Genomic DNA, 25,012 nt, shown 5'->3' on the forward strand with positions numbered 1-25,012 from the left:
CCTTCTTCGGCCTCCTTTATTCTAGTCCCGCTGGCAGTTGATTAGATGGTGCCTACCCAGATTGAGGGTGGGTCTGCCTCTCCCAGTCCACTGACTCTAATGTTAATTTCCTTTGGCAACACCCTCACTGACACGCCCAGGAACAATGCTTTGCATCCTTCAATCCAATCAAGTTGACACTTAATATTAACCATCACGGGGATCTAGCTATGTTGTTCAGGGTGGAGAGCAGTGGTTATTCTCAGGCATCATGGCAGGTGCCATGATGCTTACTGCAGCCTGAAGCTCCTGGGCTCAAGCAGTCCTCCCACACTAGCCTCCCAAGTAGCTGGGTCTACAAGTGTGTGCCAGCATGCTTAACTTTTGAAGAACTGTCAAACTGCTTTCCAAAGCAGCTGCACCATTTTGCATTCCCAACAGCAATGTGTCAGGGTTCTAATTTATCCACATCCTTGTCCATACTTTCTTCTGTCTACTTTAGCCTTTTTTTTTTTTTTAAATTGAGACAGAGTTTCACTCTTGTTGCCCAGGCTGGAGTATAATGGCACAATGTGGGCTCACCACAACCTCCGCCTCCTGGGTTCAAGCGATTCTCCTGCCTCAGCCTCCGGAGTAGCTGGAATTACAGTCATGCGACACCATGCCTGGCTAATTTTGTATTTTTTGGTAGAGACGAGGTTTCACCATGTTGGTCAGGCTGGTCTCAAACTCCCGACCTCAGGTGATCCTGCTGCCTTAGCCTCCCAAAGTGGTGGGATTACAGGCGTGAGCCACCACGCCCGGCCTTACTTTAGCCGTCTTAATGAGTGTAAAGTGGCATCTCATTATAGTTTTGATTTTCCTAATGGCTAAGGATGTTGAGCATCTTTTTTTATGTGTTTATCGGCCATTTGTATATCCTTCTTTAGAGAAATGTCTATTCAGATATTTTGTTCATTTTATCTTTATTTTTTATTTTTTAGAAACCAGGCCTTACCTTGTTGCCCAGGTTGGAGTACAGTGTGATCATAGCTCACTGCAGCCTGGAACTCCTGGGCTCAAGCGATCCTCCCACCTCAGCTTCCCAAAGTGCTGGGATTACAAGGATGAGCCACTGTGCCTGGCCCCATTTGTCCATTTTTAAGTTGGATTTTCACTTTTAGTTCAGGAAATTCTATTCATATATTCAACTCATTTGAGAATTTCTCCTGATGCTTCTCTGCTCCTTAGAAAGTATGTTTTATATTAGATTATTGTTTTTCAAATAAGTTCTGCATTTATTGAGGACCTAATATATGTCTGACTTAGACTAAATATTTGGGCTACAGTTGGAGACCTTAAGGAATTCACCATCTCTCTTCCTAAGGAGATGTTTTGCAACACAATGCTATAAATACTGTTGCAGGCCTCATGTAGATTAAAATGGCTTAACAGCAAAACCCCTGTGGGGATACAAACAAGAAGGTTTAAACTAACGTTACAGAGATAATACAATGGAGTTTTTGTGCAAGGTGGAAAAAGTCAAAGTATACAAGTTATATCTCTCACCAGTCACCACAGTACAGAAAACACTGATCACATCAAACATGAAGACAGCTGAGTAAGAGGTGCTGGCCTTAGAGCAGAGCTTGCAGAACAGAACAAACAGAAGGAAGACAATTTCCCAGTACTAAGTAAAACTGGGACCTTTTGCAGAGCACTGCCCAAGACTCTTCAACAATGCAATTCATAAAATCTTTATTTGAAGTAATCATTTGGAAATTACAGGTTGACAATGTATCACTGTTTTTGCAAATAGTAATAAAGGAACTGACCTCAGAAGTCACCTTGCACCATAGCCAGACCTGCATGGTACAAGAGAACAGGACACATGAAAGAAAATAATCAATGGACCATACAAGAAGAGAAATTAAAATAGAAAACACAACTTAACCATGTATGGCTAAGGGCTTTCACAGTTCTTTTCCTTTTTCCTTTTTTATTTTATTTTTTATTTTTAGAGACAGAGTCTCACTATGTTGCCCAGGCTGGAGTGCAATGGGTATTCACAGACACAATACCACTACTGATCAGCAGGGTTTTGTTTTTTTTTTTTGAGACGAAGTCTCGCTCTGTGGCCCAGGCTGGAGTGCAGTGGCGTGATCTCAGCTCATTGCGGAAACTCCATCTCCCGGGTTCAAGCGATTCTCCTGTCTCGGCCTCCCCAGTAGCTGGGATTTCAGGCGCCTGCCACCACACCTAGCTAATTTTTATATTTTTAGTAGAGACAAGATTTCACCATGTTGGCCAGGATGGTCTCGATCTCTTGACCTCGTGATCTGCCGGCCTTGGCCTCCCAAAGTACTGGGATTACAGGCGTGAGCCACAGCGCCCAGCCTAGCAGGGAGTTTTTGACCTGCTCCATTTCTGACCTGGGCCGGTTCACCCCTCCTTAGGTAAACTGGTGATCCCTGCTTCTAGGTGGTCACCATACTGATGTGGAACTTATGCTGACACCTGATCGGCATAGCACACACTACAGCCCAGAACTCCTGTGCTCATCCATCCTCCTGCCTCAGCCTCCTGAGTAGCTGGAACTTACAGGCATGCACCACCACATCCAGCTCACCGTTCTATAATGAAGAGAAAAATGAAAATAAATATCAAAATATCATAACCTTCTGCATATTGTTTATGTTGCATATAGACATGTTTGTGTGGACTGCAAATGAGAGCTTTTTTTTTTTTTTTTTTTTTTTTTTTTTTTTTTTTTTTTTGAGATGGAGTCTCGCTCTGTCGCCCAGGCTAGAGTGCAGTGTCACAATCTCGGCTCACTGCAAGCTCCGCCTCCTGGGGTCACGCCATTCTGCTGTCTTAGTGTCCCGAGTAGCTGGGACTACAGGTGCCCGCCATCACGCCCGGCTAAGTTTTTGTATTTTTAGTAGAGATGGGGTTTCTCTGTGTTAGCCAGGATGGTCTCAATCTCCTGACCTCGTGATCTGCCCGCCTCGGCCTCCCAATGTGCTGGGATTACAGGCGTGAGCCACCGCGCCCGGCATTTTTTTTTTTTTTTTTTTTTTTTTTTTTTGAGACGGAGTCTTGCTTTGTAGCCCAGGCTGGAGTGCAATGGCATGACTTCGGTTTACTGCAACCTCTGCCTCCTGGGTTCAAGTGATTCTCCTGCTTCAGCCTCCCGAGTAGCTGGGATTACAGGCGTCTGCCACCACGCCCGGCTAATTTTTGTATTTTTAGTGAAGATGGGGTTTCACCATGTGGGCCAGGCTGGTCTCAAACTCCTGATCTCAGGTGATCTGCCCGCCTCGGTCTCCCGAAGTGCTAGGATTATAGGCGTGAGCGTGAGCCACCGCGCCCAGCTGAGAGCTCTTTTATACTGCAGATTTTAGACACTTGGTTAGTCATTTTTGCTGTCTTCATAAAGTCTTGCTCTAAGGAAGCATTCCCATTGCAGCTAAATATGTTAATCTTGTGGAATCCACTAGGGACAATCAAAATTCTGGTTCCTGGAATGGCTTATTTAAACACTCTCTATTCCACCAAGCGCCTGAGGAGTCTTACTAGAATGATACAATATGATTCTTTGAAAAAAGACATTGCAAACCTAATGTATGATAAACCAGAGTACTAAATAGAATATTAACATATCCTGGAGGCTTCAATAAATATTAGGGTTAGGATTTAGTGCTGATAATAAAGTGTCATCTGTGAAGTAATTTGGATTTTTATAATGAACAATGAGTTTACATAATTTTTTTTTCTGTATTTCCTTACCTTGAGTATAATTTTTGTTCTGAGGCTAGGCGCAGTGGCTCATGCCTGTAATCCCAGCACTTTGGGAGGCTGAGGCGGGAGATCAACTGAGGTCGGGAGTTTGAGACCAGCCTGACCAACATGGCAAAACTCCGTCTCTACTAAAAATGAAAAATTAGCCGGACATGGTGGCGGGCGCCTGTAATCCCAGCTACTCAGAAGGCTGAGGCAGGAGAATCACGTGAACTCGGGAGGCAGAGGTTGCAGTGAGCCGAGATCGCGCCATCACACTCCAGCCTAGGCGACAAGAGAGAAACTCCGTCTAAAAAAAAAGCAGGCCGGCTCTGTGACTCACCCTGTAATCCCAGCAGTTTGGGAGGCTGAGGCGGGTGGATCACGAGGTGAGGAGTTTGAGACCAGCCTGGCCAAGATGGTGAAACCCTGTCTCTACTAAAAATGCAAAAATTAGCCGGGCGTGGTGGCAGGGGCCTGTAATCCCAGCTACTCGAGAGGCTGAGGCAGGAGAATTGCTTGAACCTGGGAGGCAGAGGTTGCAGTGAGCCGAGATTGCCGCCACTACAATCTAGCCTGGGCAAGACAGCAAGACTCTGTTTCAGAAAACAAAACAAAACAAAACAACACTGTAGGAGGCCAAGGCAGAAAGATCTCTTGAGTGCAGGAGTTCAAGTTCAAGGCTGCAGTAAGCCATGATCACGCCACTGCACTCCAGCCTGGATGACAAGTTGAGACCCTGTTTCTTTTTTCCTCTTTTTTTTTTTTCTTTGAGACGAAGCCTCGCTCTTCTCCCCCAGGCCCCCAGGCTGGAGTGCAATGGCTTGATCTCGGGTCACTGCAACCTCTGCCTCCCGGGTTCAAGCAATTCTCCTGCCTCAGCCTCCCAAGTAGCTGGGATTACAGGTGCATACCACCACGCCCAGGTAATTTTTTTTGTATTTTAAGTACAGACGGGGTTTCACCATCTTGGCCAGGCTGGTCTCGAACTCCTGACCTCAGGTGATCCACCAGCCTCGGCCTCCCAAAGTGCTGGGATTATAGGTGTGAGCCACCACACCCAGCCAGGTGAGACCCTGTTTCTAAAAATAAATTCTAGGACATTAAAACATATAAAAAAGAATAAAGAAGAAAATATTTAAAGTCACCCATAATTCTTTTCCTCCCCAAACCAAAACCATAGGAGAGGAGTGTTACACTACTCCAGAGTGTGAACAAATCTCTTTGGGAACATAGAGGACAAGGCAAGTAATGCTGACTGGGGAATTGGAGAATGCTTAACATTCGCTAGTTGGGAGGTGACAATTATGCTGGCTTTAGCCTGGAGAAGGGGCAGGGAAAGGCACTGAAGGTGGAGGGAATAGTCAGTAGGAAATGATAGAATCACTCTCTTTTTTTCTTTAATTAGAAAGAAGGTAAAGTTTGGGGAAGAGCCTGATACATTCTGAGAGCTCTAAGAGGTTCAGTGTATCTAGACTATAAGAGATAAAAGAGGGGGATAAGGTTGGAAAGAGTATGAAGACCTTTGTTCATAAAGGTAAGGAATTGGGCTGCTTTCTGTAGGATTGTCCTTAGTTATACTGAGATAGGCAAGGTAATTGACAACTAGAAGCACGATGCTGTTCTCTAGCCCCTTAACTAGAAAGTTGTTACTTACCCCGGCTGGATGCGGTGGCTCACGCCTGTAATCCCAGCACTTTGGGAGACTGAGGCGGGCAGATCACGAGTTCAGGAGTTCAAGACCATCCTGGTCAACACGGTGAAACCGCGTCTCTACTGAAAATACAAAAAATTAGCTGGGCGTGGTGGCGGGCGCCTGTAGTCCCAGCTACTTGGGAGGCTGAGGCAGGCGAATGGCGTGAACCCAGGAGGCAGAGCTTGCTGTGAGCCAAGATTGCGCCACTGCACTCTATCCAGCCTGGGTGACAGAGCGAGACTCTGTCTCAAAAAAAAAAAAAAAAGAAAGAAAATTGTTACTTAGCCTAATCACCCCATCAGATTTTCCTCTACGTCCTCATTTTTCTGTTACCAAAGTTGATCGTTAGGGGAAAAAACAAATCCTTATAGGAGGATGCAGGAAGACAAGACAATAGCAAATGTTGGGGCTCAGAAAACAATACCCCAAAATATGGTGCTTTGGCACGCTGAGCATTTTGAACTAAAGGAAATTTAAAGGCCTTAGAAGCAGCCTCAGAACCAAGAACTTTCTTTCTCCTGTTTCTCCCCAACCCCAAGCCCAGGGTGGAATTCTCTGAAGCTCCCTTATCTGAAGCTCCTCCAGAAGGAACATAGTTGCCTTTGATCACTGAAATTTCAAAACAGAGAGGATGAAACTCACGGAGCAGGAAGGAAGACTGAGGAAAGTCACCTCATCTAGACAGGCTTTGTCACAAGCCATTGTCTGTTCTTCAGGTCCCATTCAATTTTCAAATAGAATCATTTACAAATGATTGCCTATTCTTTGGGCCCAGTCAACTCTCCCCAAAATCATTTACTGCCTCTCAAAATTGCCTATATTTTTCCCATCTCCATCTCCCTTCTCCCTCTCCCCTACAAAGCTTCAGCCATCTGGCCCTTCTTTGAGTTTCATATTTTGTATGGCTCCTGTGCACGCTTGCATGTTAATAAATCTGTTTGCCTTTTCTCCTATTAATCTATTGTCAGTTTATTTCGGCGGACTTGAAACTTTAAAGGCGTAGAAAAAAATTCCCTTTGCCCTGACAAAAATAAGATGTCTTACAGATGTTCTACATAAGGATTTGGCAAACAGAATGCATATGAGTAATCCTTAGCTGTGAAACCATTCTAGTAATAGTTTGTGTTTTGTGCATTTTCTTAAAGACATTGATTTTGGGCATATGGAAAGATTATTCTGTAATATTTGAAGGAGGGAAAAAAAGCCTCACAGTTCTGATAGTTCCATTTTTTATTCTGCACTTTATGAAGGATAAATGTACGGTGTCTGTTTCTGGATGGTAGACATGTTATAGGAAAGGGGTTCTGATCCAGACCCCCAGAGAGGGTTCTTGGATCTCCAGCAAGAAAGAATTCAGGGCGAATCTGCAAAGTGAAATGGTTTCACCATGTTAGCCAGGATGGTCTTGATCTCCTGACCTCGTGATCCACCCGCCTCGGCCTCCCAAAGTGCGGGGATTACAGGCACGAGCCACCGCGCCCGGCCTTTTATAGATTTTTCTGAGATGGAGTCTCGCTCTGTCGCCCAGGCTACGGTGCAGTGGCATGATTTCGGCTCACTGCAACCTCCGCCTCCCGGTGACAAGTGATTCTCTTGCTTCAGCCTCCTGAGTGGCTGAGATTACAGGCACCCGCATCCACGCCCAGTTAATTTTTGTATTTGCAGTAGAGATGGGGTTTCACCATGTTGGCCAGGCTGGTCTCGAACTCTTGACCTCACGTGATCCACCCACCCTGACCTCCCAAAGTGCTGGGATTACAGGCATGAGCCACCTCGACGGCCCTATTTCTTGATCATATGCTAAACAAGGGGTAGATTATTCATGCTTCCCCTTTTTACACCATATAGGGTAACTTCCTGACATTACCATGGCATTTGTAAACTGTCCTGGCACTGGTGGGAATATAGCAGTGAGGACTACCAGAGGTCACTGTCGTCACCATTTTGGTTTTGTTGGGTTTTAGCTGGCTTCTTTAATGCAACCTGTTTTATCAGCAAGGTCTTTATGACCTGTATCTTGTGCTAACCTTCTATCTCATCTCATCCTGTGACTTAGAATGCCTTAACCGTCTGGGAATGCAGCCCAGCAGGTCTCAGCATCATTTTACCCAGCCCCCCACCTTTTTTTTCTTTTTTTCCAGAGGGAGTCTGGCACTGTCGCCCAGGCTGGCATGCAGTGGTGTGATCTTGGCTCACTGCAACCTCTGCCTCTCGGGTTCAAGCGATTCTCCTGCCTCAGCCTCCTGAGTAGCTGAGATTACAGGCACGGGCCACCACAACCGGCTAATTTTCGTATTTTTAGTAGAGACGGGGTTTCACCATGTTGGTCAGGCTGGTCTCGAACTCCTGACCTCGTGATCCGCCTGCCTCGGCCTCCTCCCAAAGTGCTGGGATTACAGGCGTGAGCCACTGCACCTAGCCACCCAGCCCCTATTTAAGATGGAGTTGCTCTGGTTCCAATGTCTCTGACAGATATACACTGAAAAAACTGATTAGATTGATAACTATATAATGGAAAAAATCCCCCTAGGAGGACGAGTCAGTAAGTAAAAGGTAGTCATGCTTCTGAAAGAAAAGAATGCCAAAAAATGCCAGACATACAGTAAGTCTCATGCTGGATTAAATAGAGACATGCCCTAAAATGCCTAAAAGGAGGCTAATGATTAGCCTTCTTTTTAATCATTATTATTATTATTATTTGAGACAGGGTTTCACTCCGTTGCCCAGGCTGGAATGCAGTGGTATGGTCTGGGGTCACTACAATCTCTACCTCCCAGGTTCAAGCAATCCTCCCACCTCAACCTCCCAAGTAGCTAGGACTACAGGCACATGCCACCACACCCTGCTAACTTTTTTTTTTTTGTAGAGACAGGTTTCCCCATGTTACCTAGGCTGGTCTCGAACTCCTAGGCTCAAGAGATCTACCGCCTGGCCTCCCAAAGTGCTGGGATTAGAGGCGTGAGCACCATTCCCAGCCTAATCACTATTTTTATAGTTGAAACTTGTATTTTTCTCTATAAAAAAGTGTGGAAGTTTATCTTGCTTTTTTGAAAAAGTTGAGACCAAACCCAGACAAAGGTTTTATCCTAAATTTGTTGTATGATGTGATTTCCTACTGCAACATGGGTTTTAAAATCAGTCTTTTATTTTAAGGGAAAAGGAATACATTCAAGTGGAAGAGGTTCAAATTTTAAATCATGATTAGTTTTGTATTTGGAAAATAAAACCATCACAATTCAGCTCTAATTATCTAATCAGTTTTAACTAGAGAAATTCTAGATTAAGAAAGAAGAAAGTAAGTTTTGACATGGGTATTTCTGTGTTTCAGGGGCCTCCAAAAGGATGAATATGTACTTATCTTACATGGGGTGAAGGCTGTGAGAGTGAGTATTACAGTAGCTTCATTATTACACAAATCCTGCTCTTGAAATTATTTGTGTAATTTCTGCAAGCAGATAGTCCAGTGCAGTTATTTGGAGGTCACTGTGAAGGGCCAGATAAATATTATCAAAAGCCAGAAAAACTAGGAAGCAAGGCCATAATAAGGTCTTGTTTCCTTTTTTTTTTTTTTTTTTTTTTTTTGAGATGGAGTTTAGCTCTTGTTGCACAGGCTGGAGTGCAATGGCCTGATCTCAGCTCACTGAAACTTCTGCCTCCCGGGTTCAAGTGATTCTCCTGCCTCAGCCTCCTGAATAGCTGGAATTACAGGCATGAGCCACCACGCCTGGCTAATTTTGTATTTTTAGTGGAGATGGAGTTTCTCCACGTTGGTCAGGCTGGTCTGGAACTCCTGACCTCAGGTGATCTGCCCGCCTCAGCCTCCCAAAGTGCTGGGATTACAGGTGTGAGCCACTGCGCCCAGCCATAAAGGTCTTGTTTATTGACTTCAGTTTATTTCATACGCTTATGCAACAGTCTTACCTGCTAAGTAAGAAAAATGTAGACATGCTTAAGACCTGGAAAAAGTATTGAAAAGGTATCAAAGGTTTATAGAATGTGCAGTACATATTATTCATATTCATTATGATTTTTTCTAATCCTGACGATAGAAATATAAGCCTACACAGGATCAAATATTTGCCTTGTTTTGTGTCTTCAATTGGCTGGCTTTTTTTTTTTGAGGCAGAATCATGATTTTTTTTTAAAAAACGTAAAACAATTTTTTTTTGAGACAGAGTTTCACTCTTGTTTCCCAGGCTGGAGTGCAGTGGCACGAACTCAGCTCACTGCAACCTCCACCTCCTGGGTTCAAGCGATTCTCCTGCCTGATTTATATTTTTCCAGAATTTTCTAAGTATATGTTTATAGAGAATTGTACACACATACAGCTGGGATAATGTATTACTTACATTTAACATTCTGGTTTTCCAATTTAATACTATATCATGGGCATGTCCCCATGACATTATTTTCTATAAATACCATTTTAATAGCTCTATAATATTTAAAGCTATTTATATTTCATGGTTTACCAGCTGTTCTTTTATTGTTAGATATTTAAATTAATTCCAATTTTTAGTACTATATATAAACAATGCTGTGATAGACACTTTTATCTGCCTTTCTGAGTATTTCCTTAGGATTTCCTTAGGAGAGCCATGAATAAATTTCATGGCTATTCTTAGAGTAATTTTTTTTTTTTTTTTTTGAGACAGGGTCTTGCTCTGTTGCCTAGGCTGGAGTGCAGTAGCATGATCATGGCTCACTGCAGCCTCGACCTCCTGGGCTCAAGTGATCCTCCCACCTTAGCCTCCTGAGTAGCTGGGACCACAGGTATACACCATGGCCGGCTAATTTTTTCATTTTTTGTAGAGACAAAGTCCCGCTATGTTGCCCAGATTGGTCTCCAACTCCTGGTGCTCCTGTCTAAGCCTCTCGAAGTGCTGGGATTACAGGCATGAGCCACCACACCCAGCCTACTGTAATATTTTTTAAGAATTTGATTTCATTTATTCTATTAATGCATAAATCTTAAATTATTTCAGACTCTAATCAAACAAACTATAAATGTAAAATATGAACAAATGTATTCAGGGTCTGAGCAGAAGTTATCTGAAAATTTTTCTTTAGTAAGTCAATTCAAAAGCATGAATAAAAATTCATGAAGCATTTTTCAAGTGGATCAATTTTTATTCACTTTTATAGACCCATTATTTTGTTTAACTCATGGTTATTTTGACACACAGTGTTTCTTTATATAATATAGGTTAGGCCTCATTTACTCATTCACTCAGGTGCAGGTGCTCTTTCCCCTGACTTAATCTGTATTAGTGAGTGTTTGCCGTATTACCTCCCATTTAAAAAAAAATATAAGTCTAGGCTGGGTGTGGTGGCTCACGCTTGTAATCCCAGCACTTTAGGAGGCCAAGGCGGGCAGATGGCTTGAGCCAGGCATTGGAGACCAGCCTGGGCAGCATGGTGAAATTCAGTCTTGACAAACAATAAAAGAACTTAGCTGGGCGTGGTGGTGGCGCACCTGTAGTCCCAACTACTTGGAGGCAGAGACAAGAGGATCACCTGAGCCCATCAGGTCAAGACTGCAGTGAGCTATGATCATGGCACTGCACTCCAGCCTGGGGACAGAGCAACACCGTGTCTCAAAGAAATAGAATAGGCTGGGCAAGGTGGCTCACACCTGTAATCCCAGCACTTTGGGAGGCCAAGGCGGGCAGATCATGAGGTCAGGAGTTCAAGACCAGCTTGACCAATATGGTGAAACCCCATCTCTACTAAAAATACAAAAATTAACCAGGCATGGTGACACATGCCTGTAATTTCAGCTACTCAGGAGGCTAAGGCAGAGGATTACTTGAACCTGGGAGGCGGAGGTGGCAGTGAGCCAAGATTGTGCCACTGCACTCCAGCCTGGGCAACAGAGCAAGACTCTGTCTAAAAAAAAAAAAAAAAAAAAAAAGGCCAGGCGGGGAGGCTTGACTGGGCGGAGTGGCTCACGCCTGAATCCCAGCACTCTGGGAGGCCGAGGCAGGTGGATCACGAGGTCAGGAGACTGAGACCATCCTGGCTAACATGGTGAAACAGCGTCTCTACTAAATGTTAGCCAGGCATGGTGGCATGCACCTATAGTCCCAGCTACTCGGGAGGCTGAGGCAGGAGAATTGCTTGAACCCAGGAGGCGGAGGTTGCAGTGAGCTGAGATTGCGCCACCGCACTCCAGCCTGGGCGACAGAGCGAGACTCTGTCTCAAAAAAAAAAAATTATATATATATATATATATATATATATATATACACACATATATATACACACACACACACGCACACACATATATATATATATATATATATATATATATATATATATATATATATATATATATATATACAAAAAATTAGGTGGGCGTGGTGGCGAGTGGCGAGTGCCTGTAATCCCAGCTACTTGGGAGGCTAAGGCAGGAGAATTTCTTGAACCTGGGAGGCAGAGGTTGCAGTGAGCGGAGATCGCGCCACTGCACTTTAGCCCAGGCAACAACAGAGCAAGACTCTGGAGTCTCACAAAAAAAAAAAAAAAAAAAAAAAAAAAAAAGAATTAAGCCAACAACGTGAATAGGCTTAAAAAAGGAGATTCTTCCCCTGTTAAACCTCCAAGTGTTAACAGTCTGGTTGACACTTTGATTGCGATCTCGCGAGACTCTGAGCAGACAGCCCAGCTAACCTGCCGAGACTCCTGACAGAGTGAGAAGTCGTCTCAAAAAAAAAAGTACTATTTATTTTACTTTTTTTTTTTTTTTTTTTCAGACAGAGTCTGACTGTCCCCTAGGCTGGAGTCCAGTGGCGCGATCTCGGCTCACTGCAAGCTCCGCCTCCCCAGTTCACGCCATTCTCCTACCTCAGCCTCCGGAGTAGCTGGGACTACAAGCGCCGGCCACCACGCCTGGCTAATTTTTTTGTATTTTTGGTAGAGACGGGGTTTCATCGTGTTAGCCAGGACGGTCTCGATCTCCTGACCTCGTGATCCGCCCGCCTTGGCCTCCCAAAGTGCTGGGATTACAGGCGTGAGCCACCGCCCGGCCAACAGTACTTTTGAGACGGAGTCTGGCTCTGTCGCCCAGGCTGGAGTGCAGTGGTGCGATCTCGGCTCACTACAACCTCTGCCTCCTGGGTTCAAGAGATCCTCCTGCCTCAGCCCCCCTAGTAGCTGGGATTACAGGCACACGCCACCATGCCCGGCTAACTTTTTTATTTTTTATTTTATTTTTTTGAGACGGAGTCTCGCCCTGACGCCGGGCTGGAGTGCGGTGGCCGGATCTCGGCTCATTGCAACCTCCGCCTCCCGGGTTGTATTTTTAGTAAAGACAGGTTTCACCATGTTGGCCAGGATGGTCTCGATCTCTCGACCTCCTGATCTGCCCGCCTCAGCTTCCCAAAGTGCTGCGATTACAGGCGTGAGCCACTGCGCTTTTCTTTTTTTTTCTTTTTTTTGAGACAGAGGTTCGCTCTTGTTGCCCAGGCTGGAGTGCAATGGCACGATCTCGGCTCACCGCAACCTCTGCCTCCCAGGTTCAAGCGATTCTCCTGCCTCAGCCTCCCAAGTAGCTGGAATTACAGGCATGCGCCACCATGCCAAGCTAATTTTTTTTTTTTTTTCAGTAGAGACGAGGTTTCTCCATGTTGGTCAGGCTGGTGTCCAACTCCCCATCTGAGGTGATCCGCCCGCCTTGGACTGCCAAAGTGCTGGGATTACAGGCGTGAGCCGCCGCACCGGGCCAGAAATAGTACTTTCAAATGTGGTTCCACTGGGCAGGTATACATGTGGCTCAAGGACTTCAGAGAGCAAATGATATCTGACTTCAGAGAGCAGTGATATCTGATTCTTTTTTTTTTCTTTTTTTGAGACGGAATCTCACCCTGTCGCCCAGGCTGGAGTGCAGTGGCGCTATGTCTGCTCACTGCAAGCTCCGCCTCCTGGGTTCACGCCATTCTCCTGCCTCAGCCTCCCGAGTAGCTGGGACTACAGGCGCCCGCCATCACACCGGTCTAATTTTTGTATTTTTAGTAGAGACGGGGTTTCACCATCTTAGCCAGGATGGTCTCCATCTCCTGACCTCGTGATCAGCCCGCCTCGGCCTCCCAAAGTCTTGGGATTACAGGCGTGAGCCACCGCGCCCGGCCCTGATTCTTATTTTAAGATATCCTTCACTGTGTTATACTACATTATACTTTTATTCTTTCTTTCTTTCTTTCTTTCTTTCTTTCTTTCTTTCTTTCTTTCTTTCTTTCTTTCTTTCTTTCTTTCCTTCCTTCCTTCCTTCCTTCCTTCCTTCCTTCCTTCCTTCCTTCCCTCCCTCCCTCCCTCCCTCTTTCTTTCTTTCTTTCTTTCTCTCTTTTTTTTGAGACAGTCTCACTCTGTCACCCAGGCTGGAGTTCAGTGGCAAGATCTCGGCTCACTACAACCTCTGCCTCCTGGGTTCTAGCGATTCTTGTGCCTCAGCCTCCAGTGCACCACCATGCCCGGCTATTTTTTTGTATTTTTAGTAGAAATGGGGTTTTCGCTTTGTTGGCCAGGCTGGTCTTAAACTCCTGGGCTCAAGTGATCCACCGTCTTCGGCCTCCCAAAGTGCTAGGATTATAGGTGTGAGCCACTGCATCCAGCCTATTTTTCTAATTCCAAGCCTTAGTAAAAATCTTAACTACATATGGTATAACTTGGAGATAAATGAAGGGTACTGTATCTACTCTTTGAAGGAAAATAGAGCTCCATGTTTGAAATCAACAAGGAAAAGCTCTTAGAAGACACCAGTAGAGAAGTCAAAAGGCACATAAGTAAATTTGTGAAAAATAGAAGTCCTGCCAGGCGCGGTGGCTCACGCCTGTAATCCCAGCACCTTGGGAGGCCGAGGTGGGTGGATCACGAGGTCAGGAGATCAAGACCATCCTGACTAACATGGTGAAACCCTGTCTCAACGAAAAATACAAAACAAAACAAAACAAAACTAGCCGGGTGTGGTGGCATGTGCCTGTGGTCCCAGCTACTCAGGAGGCTGAAGCTGGAGAGTTGCTTGAACCCAGGAGGAGGAGGTTGCAGTGAGCCGAGATCTCACCACTGCACTCCAGCCTGGGTGACAGAGCCAGACTCTGTCTCAAAAAATAAAAAAAAAGAAAAATAGAAGTCCTTTTCTGTGATCTTTCAAATGCTTGGGAGAAGCTGGGTTTTCCTGCTGTCAGTCACTCAGGATGGGAGGTTCTGATGGTTTTATTTTGCTCTTGAAGAAAAGGGTGACCCCAGAAGCTAGGTTAACTAAAATTTCCAAAGTTAGACGAAAAGGGAAGGAAAGAGATGAGACAATAAATCTAGGTTTCAAAAGCAAGGCTCTTTTTATTTGTTTATTATTTTTTAAAAGCTTTGTTTGTTTTAGGAAGACAGAATTAGGTTGCTTTCAGGCCCAAAGGATGTCAGGGAGGTCAACTGGATTTTCTTCTCTCCCCACAACTATACCTTGATCTTCCAAAAGGAGACAATGCCCTGTCCTGTTTCTCAGTTTAAGCCTAAAGATAAAATTCTAAAGTTTCTAAGCAGCTTTTAGTTGTTTGTTTTTCTGATCTGGAAAGGTGTCCCAGTGCTAACTTCCATATTGTTTGTCTGCTAGAGCTAAGAGTTTTTCTTCTATTTTTCTTTGATACCACCCCTTTATGATCATGAAGTTTATTCTTAGAAGTAGTCGGTATTTCTGAGCCCAGGTAATACCTACATGTCCTCATTTATTTAACAAGAAATTGGCCTTGGTCCTTATTTCAATTCTTGTTCTAATAATCTGCTTAGTGCCCCTCTGTCCCTTCTTAAAACCAGGACCAGTCCTCCAACTGAAGGCAGAGATATCATCCATGAGGGGCTATAATACATAGTGAAGATCAGTTTCGCAGATGCTGTTAGTCTGTCCTCTTGGATTTCTGTGTTGTTCTCCTTTATTTCCTGCTTCCTTACCCCTACCAGGAAAAAAATCCTACTTGTTGGGGTTTTGGTGATTAGAATATTGGGGATTATTTTACCCTTGGATACTATGTTAGTCATCAGGGCTGTTCACAAATATTCAGGTTCTCTTTCTCATGACATGGTAGGATTACATTTTCTGCCCTCTTTTTTTCTTTTTTTTTTTTGAGACTGAGTCTTGCACTGTCGCCTGGGCTGGAGTGCAGTGGCGCGATCTAGGCTCACTGCAACCTCTGCCTCCCAGGTTCAAGCGATTCTCCTGCCTAGGCCTCCGGAGTTGCTGGGATTACAGGCACCTGCCACCACACCCAGCTAATTTTTTGCATTTTTAGTAGAGAAGGGGTTTCACCTGTCTCGAACTCCTGACCTTGTGATCTGCCCGCCTCGGCCTCCCAAAGTGCTGGGATTACACGCGTGAGCCACTGCTCCCAGCCTCTGCCCTCTTAAAGTTAGGTTTGGCCATCTGACTTTGGTGGCCACTAAAATATGAGTGGAAGTAAAGCACACTGCTTCTAGGTGGAAGCTTTTTAATGGCTACAGCAAGACACTGCAACACTAGCAATTAAATTTTATGATCCCTACTGTCACAATTTTGAAAACATGTGTCTCAGTGAAGCCTCTACCAACCTAAGGACCTCAGTGATTAAAATGAGAGAGTCCATGCAGTGGACATTTTGCTGAGCTCCCCAGATCCACCCTTTAGGTCTAAAGCATTCTTTCTCCCAACTGCTGGAACTGCTGGTGGCTGACAGTGGTCAGCTGGGTCCCTCTCTGGGGGTAGCTGTTGGCTAAAGAGAGCCCTTTTATCAAAGGTCACGTCTGTCTTTTTTTTTTTTTTTTGAGATGGAGTCTCGCTCTGTCACCCATGCTGGAGTGCAGTGGCGTGATCTCGGCTCACTGCAAGCTCTGCCTCCCGTGTTTCACGCCATTCTCCTGCCTCAGCCTCCCGAGTAGCTGGGACTACCGGCGCCTGCCGCCACGCCCGGCTAATTTTTTGTATTTTTGGTAGAGACGGGGTTTCACCGTGTTAGCCAGGATGGTCTCGATCTCCTGACCTCGTGATCCGCCTGCCTCGGCCTCCCAAAGTTCTGGGATTACAGGCGTAAACCACCGCTCCAGGCCGGTCACATCTCTTTCAATATGTGCAGCCCACATCCAGTGACTGGTTGGTGTGAAGGTATAATTTTACTGGGTTTTGCCGGGCGCAGTAGCTCACGCTTGTAATCCCAGCACTTTGGGAGGCCGAGGCGGGTGGATCGCCTGAGTTCAGGAGTTCGAGGCTAGCCTGGCCAACATGGTGAAACCCCATCTCTACTAAAAATACAAAAATTAGCCGGGCATGGTGGCACAAGCCTGTAATCCCAGCTACTTGGGAGGCTAAGGCAGGAGAATTGCTTGAACGCGGGAGGCGGAGGTTGCAGTGAGCCAAGATCGTGCCAATGCACTCCAGCCTGGGCTACAAGAGCGAAACTCCGTCTTTAAAAAAAAAAAAAAATTTACTGGTTTTACCCAACTTGGCTAGGCAGTCTGTCTAATGCTGGATTTCCTACTCCAAGGCAGCATTCAAGGAGCCTAAATTATCAGTATACTTGAGGGACTTTTTCCCTAGATGTACTCCACTGAAGGAATCTTGAATGAAAAGCTTGCTGGGTTTGGGGGGTCTTTTAGGTGTACCTTAAAGTGTTAGCAGACACAGATTAGGACAATGCTGAAAGGCCAGCCCAGCTCCAGAATTCCTGCAGGATTGATTGATGCCTCAGTTGCAAATGTGTTGCAATTCAACTTCTCCCTCTGCCCAGTCTTGCATCCCTCAATCCCCACAGAGGTTGCTCTTGCCATCATTAGGTAATAACCTCCTGCATACAAATTTCAGAGTTTCAGTGTCTATTTCCTGTGAACTCAAGTTGCGATGGGTCCCCTGATGACTTATATCAAACATGTAACATGTGTGAGAAATAAACCTTTATTGCAATAAGATGCTGAGATTTGGTGAATGTTACTGTAATTTAGCCCATCCTAATTAGTACAGATGCCAAACCTCACCTGCATCACCAGTCCTTTGTTCTCAGCTGAGCTTGACTTACATTGTCTGCCTTTTGTCGTGGACAGGTTTCTTGCCAAGTCTTAATTCTGTTCTTTGATGTTCTTTCTCACTGTGAGTGAACAGCCATGTCCCAACTGAAATATCACAAGAAGGAACAGAAAAGGGAAGAGGGTACATATCTAGTTGTCTACCTACCAAGTCAGCGGCATGTGTTTTTTCTTGTGAATTTCCTAAGACCTTTTCTTTATGTTCTATATAATTTATCATACATTTATAACATGTACGGTAGTCCTCCCTGCCCCTTATCCACAAGGAACTTGTTCCAAGACCTCCAGTGGATGCCTGAAACTGCAGACAGTACTGAACCCAATTGCTATAAACTGGAATACATTTCTATTATGTCTTCTACCCACAAATTTAATGCCTTTTCCATCTTAACTAAGCACTTATTACACATTGTGGCCATCACTTTTGCAGTTTGAGGTATGGCAGCAAAACTAGCATGAATTTATTTTTTCTTCACAATTCAGTTTCACAGATAGATTTTTTTTTTTTTTTTTGCCAGAGTCTCTATCGCCCGGGCTAGAGTGCAATGGGCAACCTCCACCTCCTGCGTTCAAGTGATTCTCTTGCTTCAGCCTCCGGAGTAGCTGCTGGGATTACAGGCACGTGCCACCACTCCCAGCTAATTTTTGTATTTTTGGTATAGACGGGGTTTCACCATGTTGGCCAGGCAGGTCTTGAACTCTTGACCTCAAGTGATCCTCCTGCCTTGGTCCCCCAAAGTGCTGGGATTACAGACGTGAGCCACTGCACCCTGCCAAAGATTCATTGTTACCAGCAATCTTAGCAACCTCAGCCTATAATTTTTTTCCCTCCTTATTAAGTCAAGAACTCTGACTTTTTTTTTTTTTTTTTTTTTTTTTTTTTTTTTTTTTTTGAGACAGAGTCTTGCTCTGTCGCCCAGGCTGGAGTCCAGTGGCATGATCTCGGCTCACTGCAAGCCCCACCTCCCGGGTTCATGCCATTCATTCACTGCCTCAGCCTCCCGAGTGGCTGGGACTACAGGCGCCTGCCACCACGCCTGGCTAATTTTTTTGTATTTTCAGTAGAGACAGGGTTTCACCGTGTTAGCCAGGATGGTCTCGATCATCCTGACCTTGTGATCTGCCTGCCTCGGCCTCCCAAAGTGCTGAGATTACAGGCAAGAACTCTGACGTTTTAACTTACAGGAAGCACTTTACAGCTTCTGTATGGCTGAATTGCCAGCATCACTACTCTTGTGCTTTGGGGCCATTATTAAGTAAAACGAGGGTTAGTTGAACACAAGCACTTGGATATTGCATACTGCCACAGTCAGTCTGATAAGAGACTGCTACTAAGTGATTAAGGAGGTTATAGCGGATACACTGTACAAACCATGATTCACATCCCAGAAGGACAGTGTGGGATGGCAGCGATTTCCTCACAGCTAGTTAGTAACAGTACTCAATTTAAAATTTATGAGGCCAGGCGCAGTGGCTCACGCCTCTAATCCTATCATTTTGGGAGGCCAGAAGGGCGGATCACCTGAGGTCAGGAGTTCGAGACCAGGCTGACCAACATGGTGAAACTCCATCTCTACTAAAAATACAAAACTAGCCGGGTGTGGTGGCGCATGCCTGTAATCCCAGCTACTCAGGGGGCTGAGGCAGGAGAATCGCTTGAGTCTGGGAGGCGGAGGTTGCTGTGAGCTGAGATCGTGCCATTGTGCTCCAGCTTGGGCAACAAAAGAGAAACTACGTCTCAAAAAAAACAAAAACAACAACAACAAAAAAAAACACCACTTATTATTTCTGGAACTTTCCATGTAATATTTTCAGACCGTGGTTGACTGCAGGTAACTGAAACGGTGGATAAGGGGGAACTACAAAAAGGACACTTAATGTTTCTTGGAAAAAATCTTAAGCAAATAAAAATTGAATGATGAAGTACTTGATCTCAATTTGAGGAAGATAAAAGTGTACTACGAATTAATAAACTTTAAACTTTCTGCACCTCTAACATACTAAAATCCAATTTCTCTGAGTGCTAGAAACTCTCAGTTCTTGAAAGACAAATGGTAAAACAATACCGTTTCTAATTTAGACCTTTTGGGCAAAACAAAATACAGTAATAAAGCTATAAAGAATCGGTCGGGGGCGGTGGCTCACGTCTGTAATCCCAGCACTTTGGGAGGTCGAGACGGGCGGATCACGTGAGGTCAGGAGTTCGAGACCAGCCTGGCAAACATGGTGAAACCCTGTCTCCACTAAAAATACAAAAATTAGCCGGGCGTGATGGCGCCGCCTGTAATCTCAGCTACTCGGGAGGTTCAGGCCGGAGAATTGCTTGAACCTGGGAGGTGGAGGTTGCAGTGAGTCGAGATCGCGCCACTGCACCGCAGCCTGGTCGACAGAGCAAGACTCCGCCTCAATAAATAAATAAATAAATAAATAAAACCTAAATAAATAAAGCTAATGAATCAAAGCATATGCTCTTCGTCTTTTTAAGGGATTTTACTAGGTAGAATTTTTTTTTCTCTGTCTAAAGGGTAAACAGCATAAACATATTTCAACTAAAAAGAGTCTTAGAATCCGGGGTTGGTATTGCTACAACCCCTAATTATGGAAGATGTTTAGTATAACAGAACCAGTTTAAGGAATGTGGAGATTTATTTACATCAAATTCAGATAAAGAGGTAACAGCGGACTAGAAGAAGCAAGCAGAGCATGACTTAAGGAGTCTATCTATGACTGTATCTGTGGAACTGCCCTTAGCCACAATGAAAGACCAGCAAAACCAGCCTTCAGCATAACCCTCCTGCCTGGTAGGAGATGGGAAGGCCAGACTTCACCCCTCAAGATCGCCCTCCCACGCGCATTTTCCACCTCGCAGCTAAGAATTCAGTCCAGACTTCCGATCATGGCGCCACGCACGTCACCTTCTCCCCTCGCCGCCAGCAAAATCCCACCCACGTCGGCTGACCCCGCAGCGGGGTGTAAGGGCGGGAGGGATCCCGTCTCCTATACTGGTCGCTTGTACAAACCAGATCCAAAAAACGCACTACACAAATCCTTGGAAACTGCGGTACCAACGGGATCTTCTCAATTCCTTGAGTGCAAAATGATCCCACTCTCTATCCCGACACAACTCTAACTCCATTTTCCTTTCACGTGCCCTAAAAAGCCCTCAAGGCCCCCAGCCTTGGTGAATCCAGGCCCTCTCTCGGGGTGGGCACCGCGCTGTACGGACAGACGCGCGCACGCAGCGGGACGATTTATAGAATTAAAAGTCTTTTTTTTTTTTCTGGCTTCGCATCCTTGCAAATACTCAATATTCCTGTCAACTAAGAAGGCTAAGGGAATGGGCGGTTGAGGAAAGCAGGACGTCGATTACAGCGAACACATCAAAGGGGTGGTCTTTCCAATTCCGGCTTTTGTTTGAGTCAGAGGGGAGCCTGAGGAGGCCAAGGTCTCCGGTTCTGGGAAAGGCGGGTCCATCCGGATTCTTTGGGCTGCGGAGAGGGAGGTTCCAGCCCCGTGAAACAACAGAGGGCAGTTCTGCCCCTCGAGGCTTTCCTCCGAGAGTACTGAGACGGAGACGCCTCAGTCGGGAGAAATCCCGGAACTCGGAGGAGTCTGCTGAACGCCGAACAAAAGGATGTGGCCGTCGTCTCTTAAACAAATACGCGAATCCCAAGCCATGCACATTTGGAAGGCATGTGTATGTGTGTGAAGGAGAAAGGCCACCGCTGCCCACCGCAGCCCCACCCAGCCCTCGGCCATTCACCGGAGAGACGCGCTGCGGTGGGGCCTCGGAGCCCTCAGCCAGCCCCGAACGAGGGGCGGGGCCGGGCGGGGCCGTGAGCGCGCAGGCGCAGTGCGGGCTTCATCCCGCCGCCGGCGCCGCCGCCGCCGCCGCCCGCTCTGCACCACAGGCTAGAGACAGACAGGGCCGGGAAGAGCCGGAGACTGAGGAGGAGGCGGAGGCGGCGGCGGAGGCGGGGCGACTCCGGTGACCGGGAGCGCCGCAGACTGGCAGCTGCGGCGACTCCCCCCTTTGTGTCTGGTCTGCTCGGAGCCACTGGAAGTGCCTCCCGGAGGGACGCAGGGTGTCTCGCCGCCTCCCTGCCCACCCCCTTCCCCGGCTACCTTCATCCGCCCTCCCGCCGCCCCCCGCCCTCGGTCCGCGACGCCCGAGTTCCGTCAGGAGCCCAGAGCTGCGGGAGAACGAGGCGGCGGCGGCGGCGGCGGCGGCGGCGGCGGCGGCAGCAGCAGCGGCTTCCTCGGGGGGTTGTGATTCGCTCACAGGAGCCATTGACGGGAGAAGAGGAGGCTTTCTTGGTGGAATTTACCTCAGGCAAGATCGAGCCGCAGGAATAAAAAGCGAGGAAGGGAAGGGAGCGCCGCCGGGAGGACTAGAAGGGGCAGCCTCTCACACCCACTCCGCCTGCCGTCTCGGGGAGCCCGGACCGGGGCCGCGACCGCGACCCCTCCCCTCCCCCGCTCCTACCTCTCCTCAGCCTTCGCCAGGGCCTCCCCAACCCTCTCACGGTTGTTCTGCGAAGGCGTGGGGACTGTGAGCTTGTCCATGGAGGCAGGCACCTTTTTTGATCCAGTCAAGGAAGAGGATTTGTTGTTTTCGAAATCAGAGTGAAGGAAGCACCGAAGCGAAACTTAAGGAATCCTGCCTTCCCGGAGCCGCGGGCGATGCGACTAGGGCTGCCGGGCGCCGCCGCCGCCCGTCCGGCTTCGTCCTTCCCGGCAGTCGGGAACTAGTTCTGACCCTCGCCCCCCGACCCCGGATCGAATCCCCGCCCTCCGCACCCTGGATATGTTTTCTCCCAGACCTGGATATTTTTTTGATATCGTGAAACTACGAGGGAAATAATTTGGGGGATTTCTTCTTGGCTCCCTGCTTTCCCCACAGACATGCCTTCCGTTTGGAGGGCCGCGGCACCCCGTCCGAGGCGAAGGAACCCCCCCAGCCGCGAGGGAGAGAAATGAAGGGAATTTCTGCAGCGGCATGAAAGCTCTGCAGCTAGGTCCTCTCATCAGCCATTTGTCCTTTCAAACTGTATTGTGATACGGGCAGGATCAGTCCACGGGAGAGAAGACGAGCCTCCCGGCTGTTTCTCCGCCGGTCTACTTCCCATATTTCTTTTCTTTGCCCTCCTGATTCTTGGCTGGCCCAGGGATGACTTCCTCGCTGCAGCGGCCCTGGCGGGTGCCCTGGCTACCATGGACCATCCTGCTGGTCAGCACTGCGGCTGGTGAGTAGCTCCGGCCGGCACGTCCCGGCCACTGCCCCTGCGGGTGGCGAGGGAGGGAGCCCGCAGAGGCCGAGGCCTGTGCTTGCCCTTCGCCATGCGTCCCCCCGATCGCGGTGCAGCGGAGCTGCGACCCGGTGCCTGCGCGCCTGCCCCATGCCTTCCAGGGAAATCGCCTTTAATATTCTTGTGTATTTTCCTATCCCCACTTCCATATTCCCACCCCACCCCCCTTTACGGGGTGAAAAAGACATATTGGGTGTGGTATCTTGACATTTTTAGCTGTGAGGTAATGCAACGATTAAAAATAATATTTTAATCACCAGTGAACAGTGCTTATTATGAGATCTCTGGAAACAGACCTGTAGATTTTTAAAATTATTATTATAAAGAAGCGGTTTTGGCTTATAGTAAAAAGAACATCAACTAGAGAACACACACTTGAACCTTATTTTGAAATTTAGATCACTCTGGGAATCCATGTTCCTTTCATTATTCAGAAATGTTACCGAATGAATAGAATAAATGTTGAGGAAGCCAGAACTGTGAGATTCTTGATATATTGTATTATACGGTTTGATAACTTTACTGTTAGTCATCTGGCATCTATCTATTGGCTTTGCTGTCGAGACAACTTTGACCTGACATTAGACTTCTAGGAGATTTGACTCCGAAAGTTCTTTGACATTTCACTAAAGTCTAAAGGGTGGTAGTCATCCTTTCCTTTGGATATTTTCATTTCAGTTCTCAGAAACCTTAGGAAAAAGACCTTATCTTCTATTTGCAACTATTTTTTCAAGCAGCCTTTTGGTGATTTGCTTTTAGAAATTTTCAGGAGTGAATTCTACATATAACTCGTACACTTGGTTTATGATGGGCAAATGGATTGTGCTTTTAAAACGAGTAAAGGACCAAATGACCCTTTCGAATTACTTTTTTTCTTTTGATAAGTGTGTTTCACATTAAACAAATTTCTCATTGCTATGTTAGATACAGAGGTTACTTGCTTATTTTCATTTTGAAAGTCTGATCTAGGAAAATGCCGAAGAAAATTTGAAGTTTCCTTTTATGCTTTTGCTATTGTTGAATAATGTCTACTGTTGATTAATGTCTGTTAAATTGATGATAAATCTATATGGTTCTGTTAAAATAATTTGAACTTCTGAGTTTACTTTAAAACTGATATTTTAATATTTTTAATAATTGTAGTTGCTTTCAGAGTAAAAATGATTTTTCTCTAAATTTCTTTATATTGTGTTAGCTATTTAAATTCTCTAGCCATAAGCCATGTGGTTCCTGTAAAATATGGAGTAAAAGGCCTTAAACGTTCCATGAGCAGAAATCTCAGAACATAGGCTTTTCAATGTTATTTGTTATTCTTAACCTTTTTAGAATATAGATTCTCATTTATGATGACGTGCTCATAATATTGTGATCAGAACTGATAAAAGTAAGAGAAAAAGCATTTATTTAAAAATAAACTTAATTTTTGTTTGGTAATACAATCATCTTAGAATAGTGTCTCTTAAAAGGGAGAGAGTAAAAGAATCACTGCTTAAAAGTGGTTGTAGTCTTTTTTTTCTTTGGTATTGCATAGCACCAGATGACAAAATTTGTGAAGCTGGATTTCAGACCTGTAACAGTAATGATAATAGCTAGTATTTATTAAGTGCCTGCCATGCACCATCAGCTATTCAAATAACTTTACATATATTTTTTCATTTCGTCTTCATGACAATTCTATGTTGTAGGTTATTATCATTCCCCTTTTCCATAGAGGGAGAGTAAAGTACAGAGAATTTGAATAACTCACCACACAGTCAGTAAATTATGGAGCCAGGATTATAGTGTGCGCCCTCACATACCACATTAATGGTAACAGCAGCACTAGCAGCAACAACTTCTCATCTTATTGGATATATGAGATGGAGTAATTAGCCTTCACCAGATCAACCTTTGTAAAGAAGCAGGGACACTTACAAGGTGTTAGTGCAGCAGTGGTTATGCAAATGTCGTAGTTCTGAACATGTAAAACTTTGCTTGGCCTAATATTGAAGTGGCTAGTGCAGCTTCATTAAGTGCAAGCTGATTAGAGAGGGCCTGTGTGGATTTGGGTTACACAGATGCAGTGATGTTAACTCGACAGGCGCAAATGGTGCAGCTGAACAGGAAAATAAATCCTAGAAGACTGATTGATAGCACATCCTTTTTCGGGGTCATGGATAAATCATTTCTTTTGATTCCCTCTTTCTCACTTATTGAGTTCTTGGACTCCTTAATTCTTAGAACATTTTCTTTC

At 45.8% G+C, this 25,012-nt stretch overlaps 1 protein-coding gene and 1 pseudogene across 2 annotated transcripts in view, besides 9 other annotated features; one reads left to right on the top strand and one right to left on the bottom strand.

Annotated features, from left to right (window-relative positions):
• On the bottom strand, positions 2,242-2,583 carry RN7SL40P (RNA, 7SL, cytoplasmic 40, pseudogene; annotated as a pseudogene).
• Positions 3,558-4,142: an enhancer, noted in NCBI's record as "H3K4me1 hESC enhancer chr2:203223115-203223699 (GRCh37/hg19 assembly coordinates)". NCBI's record gives its function as "activates a minimal SCP1, AML or CMV promoter by ChIP-STARR-seq in primed H9 embryonic stem cells {active_cell/tissue: H9 hESC(primed)}" and the evidence as "EXISTENCE:reporter gene assay evidence [ECO:0000049][PMID:30033119]".
• Positions 20,341-20,500: an enhancer, noted in NCBI's record as "active region_16999". NCBI's record gives its function as "activates an Ori minimal core promoter by ATAC-STARR-seq in GM12878 lymphoblastoid cells {active_cell/tissue: GM12878}" and the evidence as "EXISTENCE:reporter gene assay evidence [ECO:0000049][PMID:35858748]".
• Positions 20,611-20,900: an enhancer, noted in NCBI's record as "active region_17000". NCBI's record gives its function as "activates an Ori minimal core promoter by ATAC-STARR-seq in GM12878 lymphoblastoid cells {active_cell/tissue: GM12878}" and the evidence as "EXISTENCE:reporter gene assay evidence [ECO:0000049][PMID:35858748]".
• Positions 20,991-21,040: a silencer, noted in NCBI's record as "silent region_12241". NCBI's record gives its function as "represses an Ori minimal core promoter by ATAC-STARR-seq in GM12878 lymphoblastoid cells {active_cell/tissue: GM12878}" and the evidence as "EXISTENCE:reporter gene assay evidence [ECO:0000049][PMID:35858748]".
• Positions 21,191-21,680: a silencer, noted in NCBI's record as "silent region_12242". NCBI's record gives its function as "represses an Ori minimal core promoter by ATAC-STARR-seq in GM12878 lymphoblastoid cells {active_cell/tissue: GM12878}" and the evidence as "EXISTENCE:reporter gene assay evidence [ECO:0000049][PMID:35858748]".
• The window catches only part of BMPR2 (bone morphogenetic protein receptor type 2), a 191,423-nt gene continuing 187,903 nt past the window's right edge, over positions 21,493-25,012 (top strand). For both annotated transcript variants that reach the window (NM_001204.7, XM_011511687.2), the window contains exon 1: positions 21,493-22,716. In NM_001204.7, the coding sequence (NP_001195.2) occupies positions 22,641-22,716 (76 nt within the window). In that variant the 5' untranslated portion in view covers positions 21,493-22,640. The remainder of the gene's footprint in view (positions 22,717-25,012) is intronic.
• Positions 21,811-21,870: a silencer, noted in NCBI's record as "silent region_12243". NCBI's record gives its function as "represses an Ori minimal core promoter by ATAC-STARR-seq in GM12878 lymphoblastoid cells {active_cell/tissue: GM12878}" and the evidence as "EXISTENCE:reporter gene assay evidence [ECO:0000049][PMID:35858748]".
• Positions 21,941-22,000: a silencer, noted in NCBI's record as "silent region_12244". NCBI's record gives its function as "represses an Ori minimal core promoter by ATAC-STARR-seq in GM12878 lymphoblastoid cells {active_cell/tissue: GM12878}" and the evidence as "EXISTENCE:reporter gene assay evidence [ECO:0000049][PMID:35858748]".
• Positions 22,055-22,838: an enhancer, noted in NCBI's record as "H3K27ac hESC enhancer chr2:203241612-203242395 (GRCh37/hg19 assembly coordinates)". NCBI's record gives its function as "activates a minimal SCP1, AML or CMV promoter by ChIP-STARR-seq in naive H9 embryonic stem cells {active_cell/tissue: H9 hESC(naive)}" and the evidence as "EXISTENCE:reporter gene assay evidence [ECO:0000049][PMID:30033119]".
• Positions 22,841-22,910: an enhancer, noted in NCBI's record as "active region_17001". NCBI's record gives its function as "activates an Ori minimal core promoter by ATAC-STARR-seq in GM12878 lymphoblastoid cells {active_cell/tissue: GM12878}" and the evidence as "EXISTENCE:reporter gene assay evidence [ECO:0000049][PMID:35858748]".

This window comes from Homo sapiens, chromosome 2 (genome assembly GCF_000001405.40).
Source record: "Homo sapiens chromosome 2, GRCh38.p14 Primary Assembly".
Classification (NCBI taxonomy): domain Eukaryota; kingdom Metazoa; phylum Chordata; class Mammalia; order Primates; family Hominidae; genus Homo; species Homo sapiens.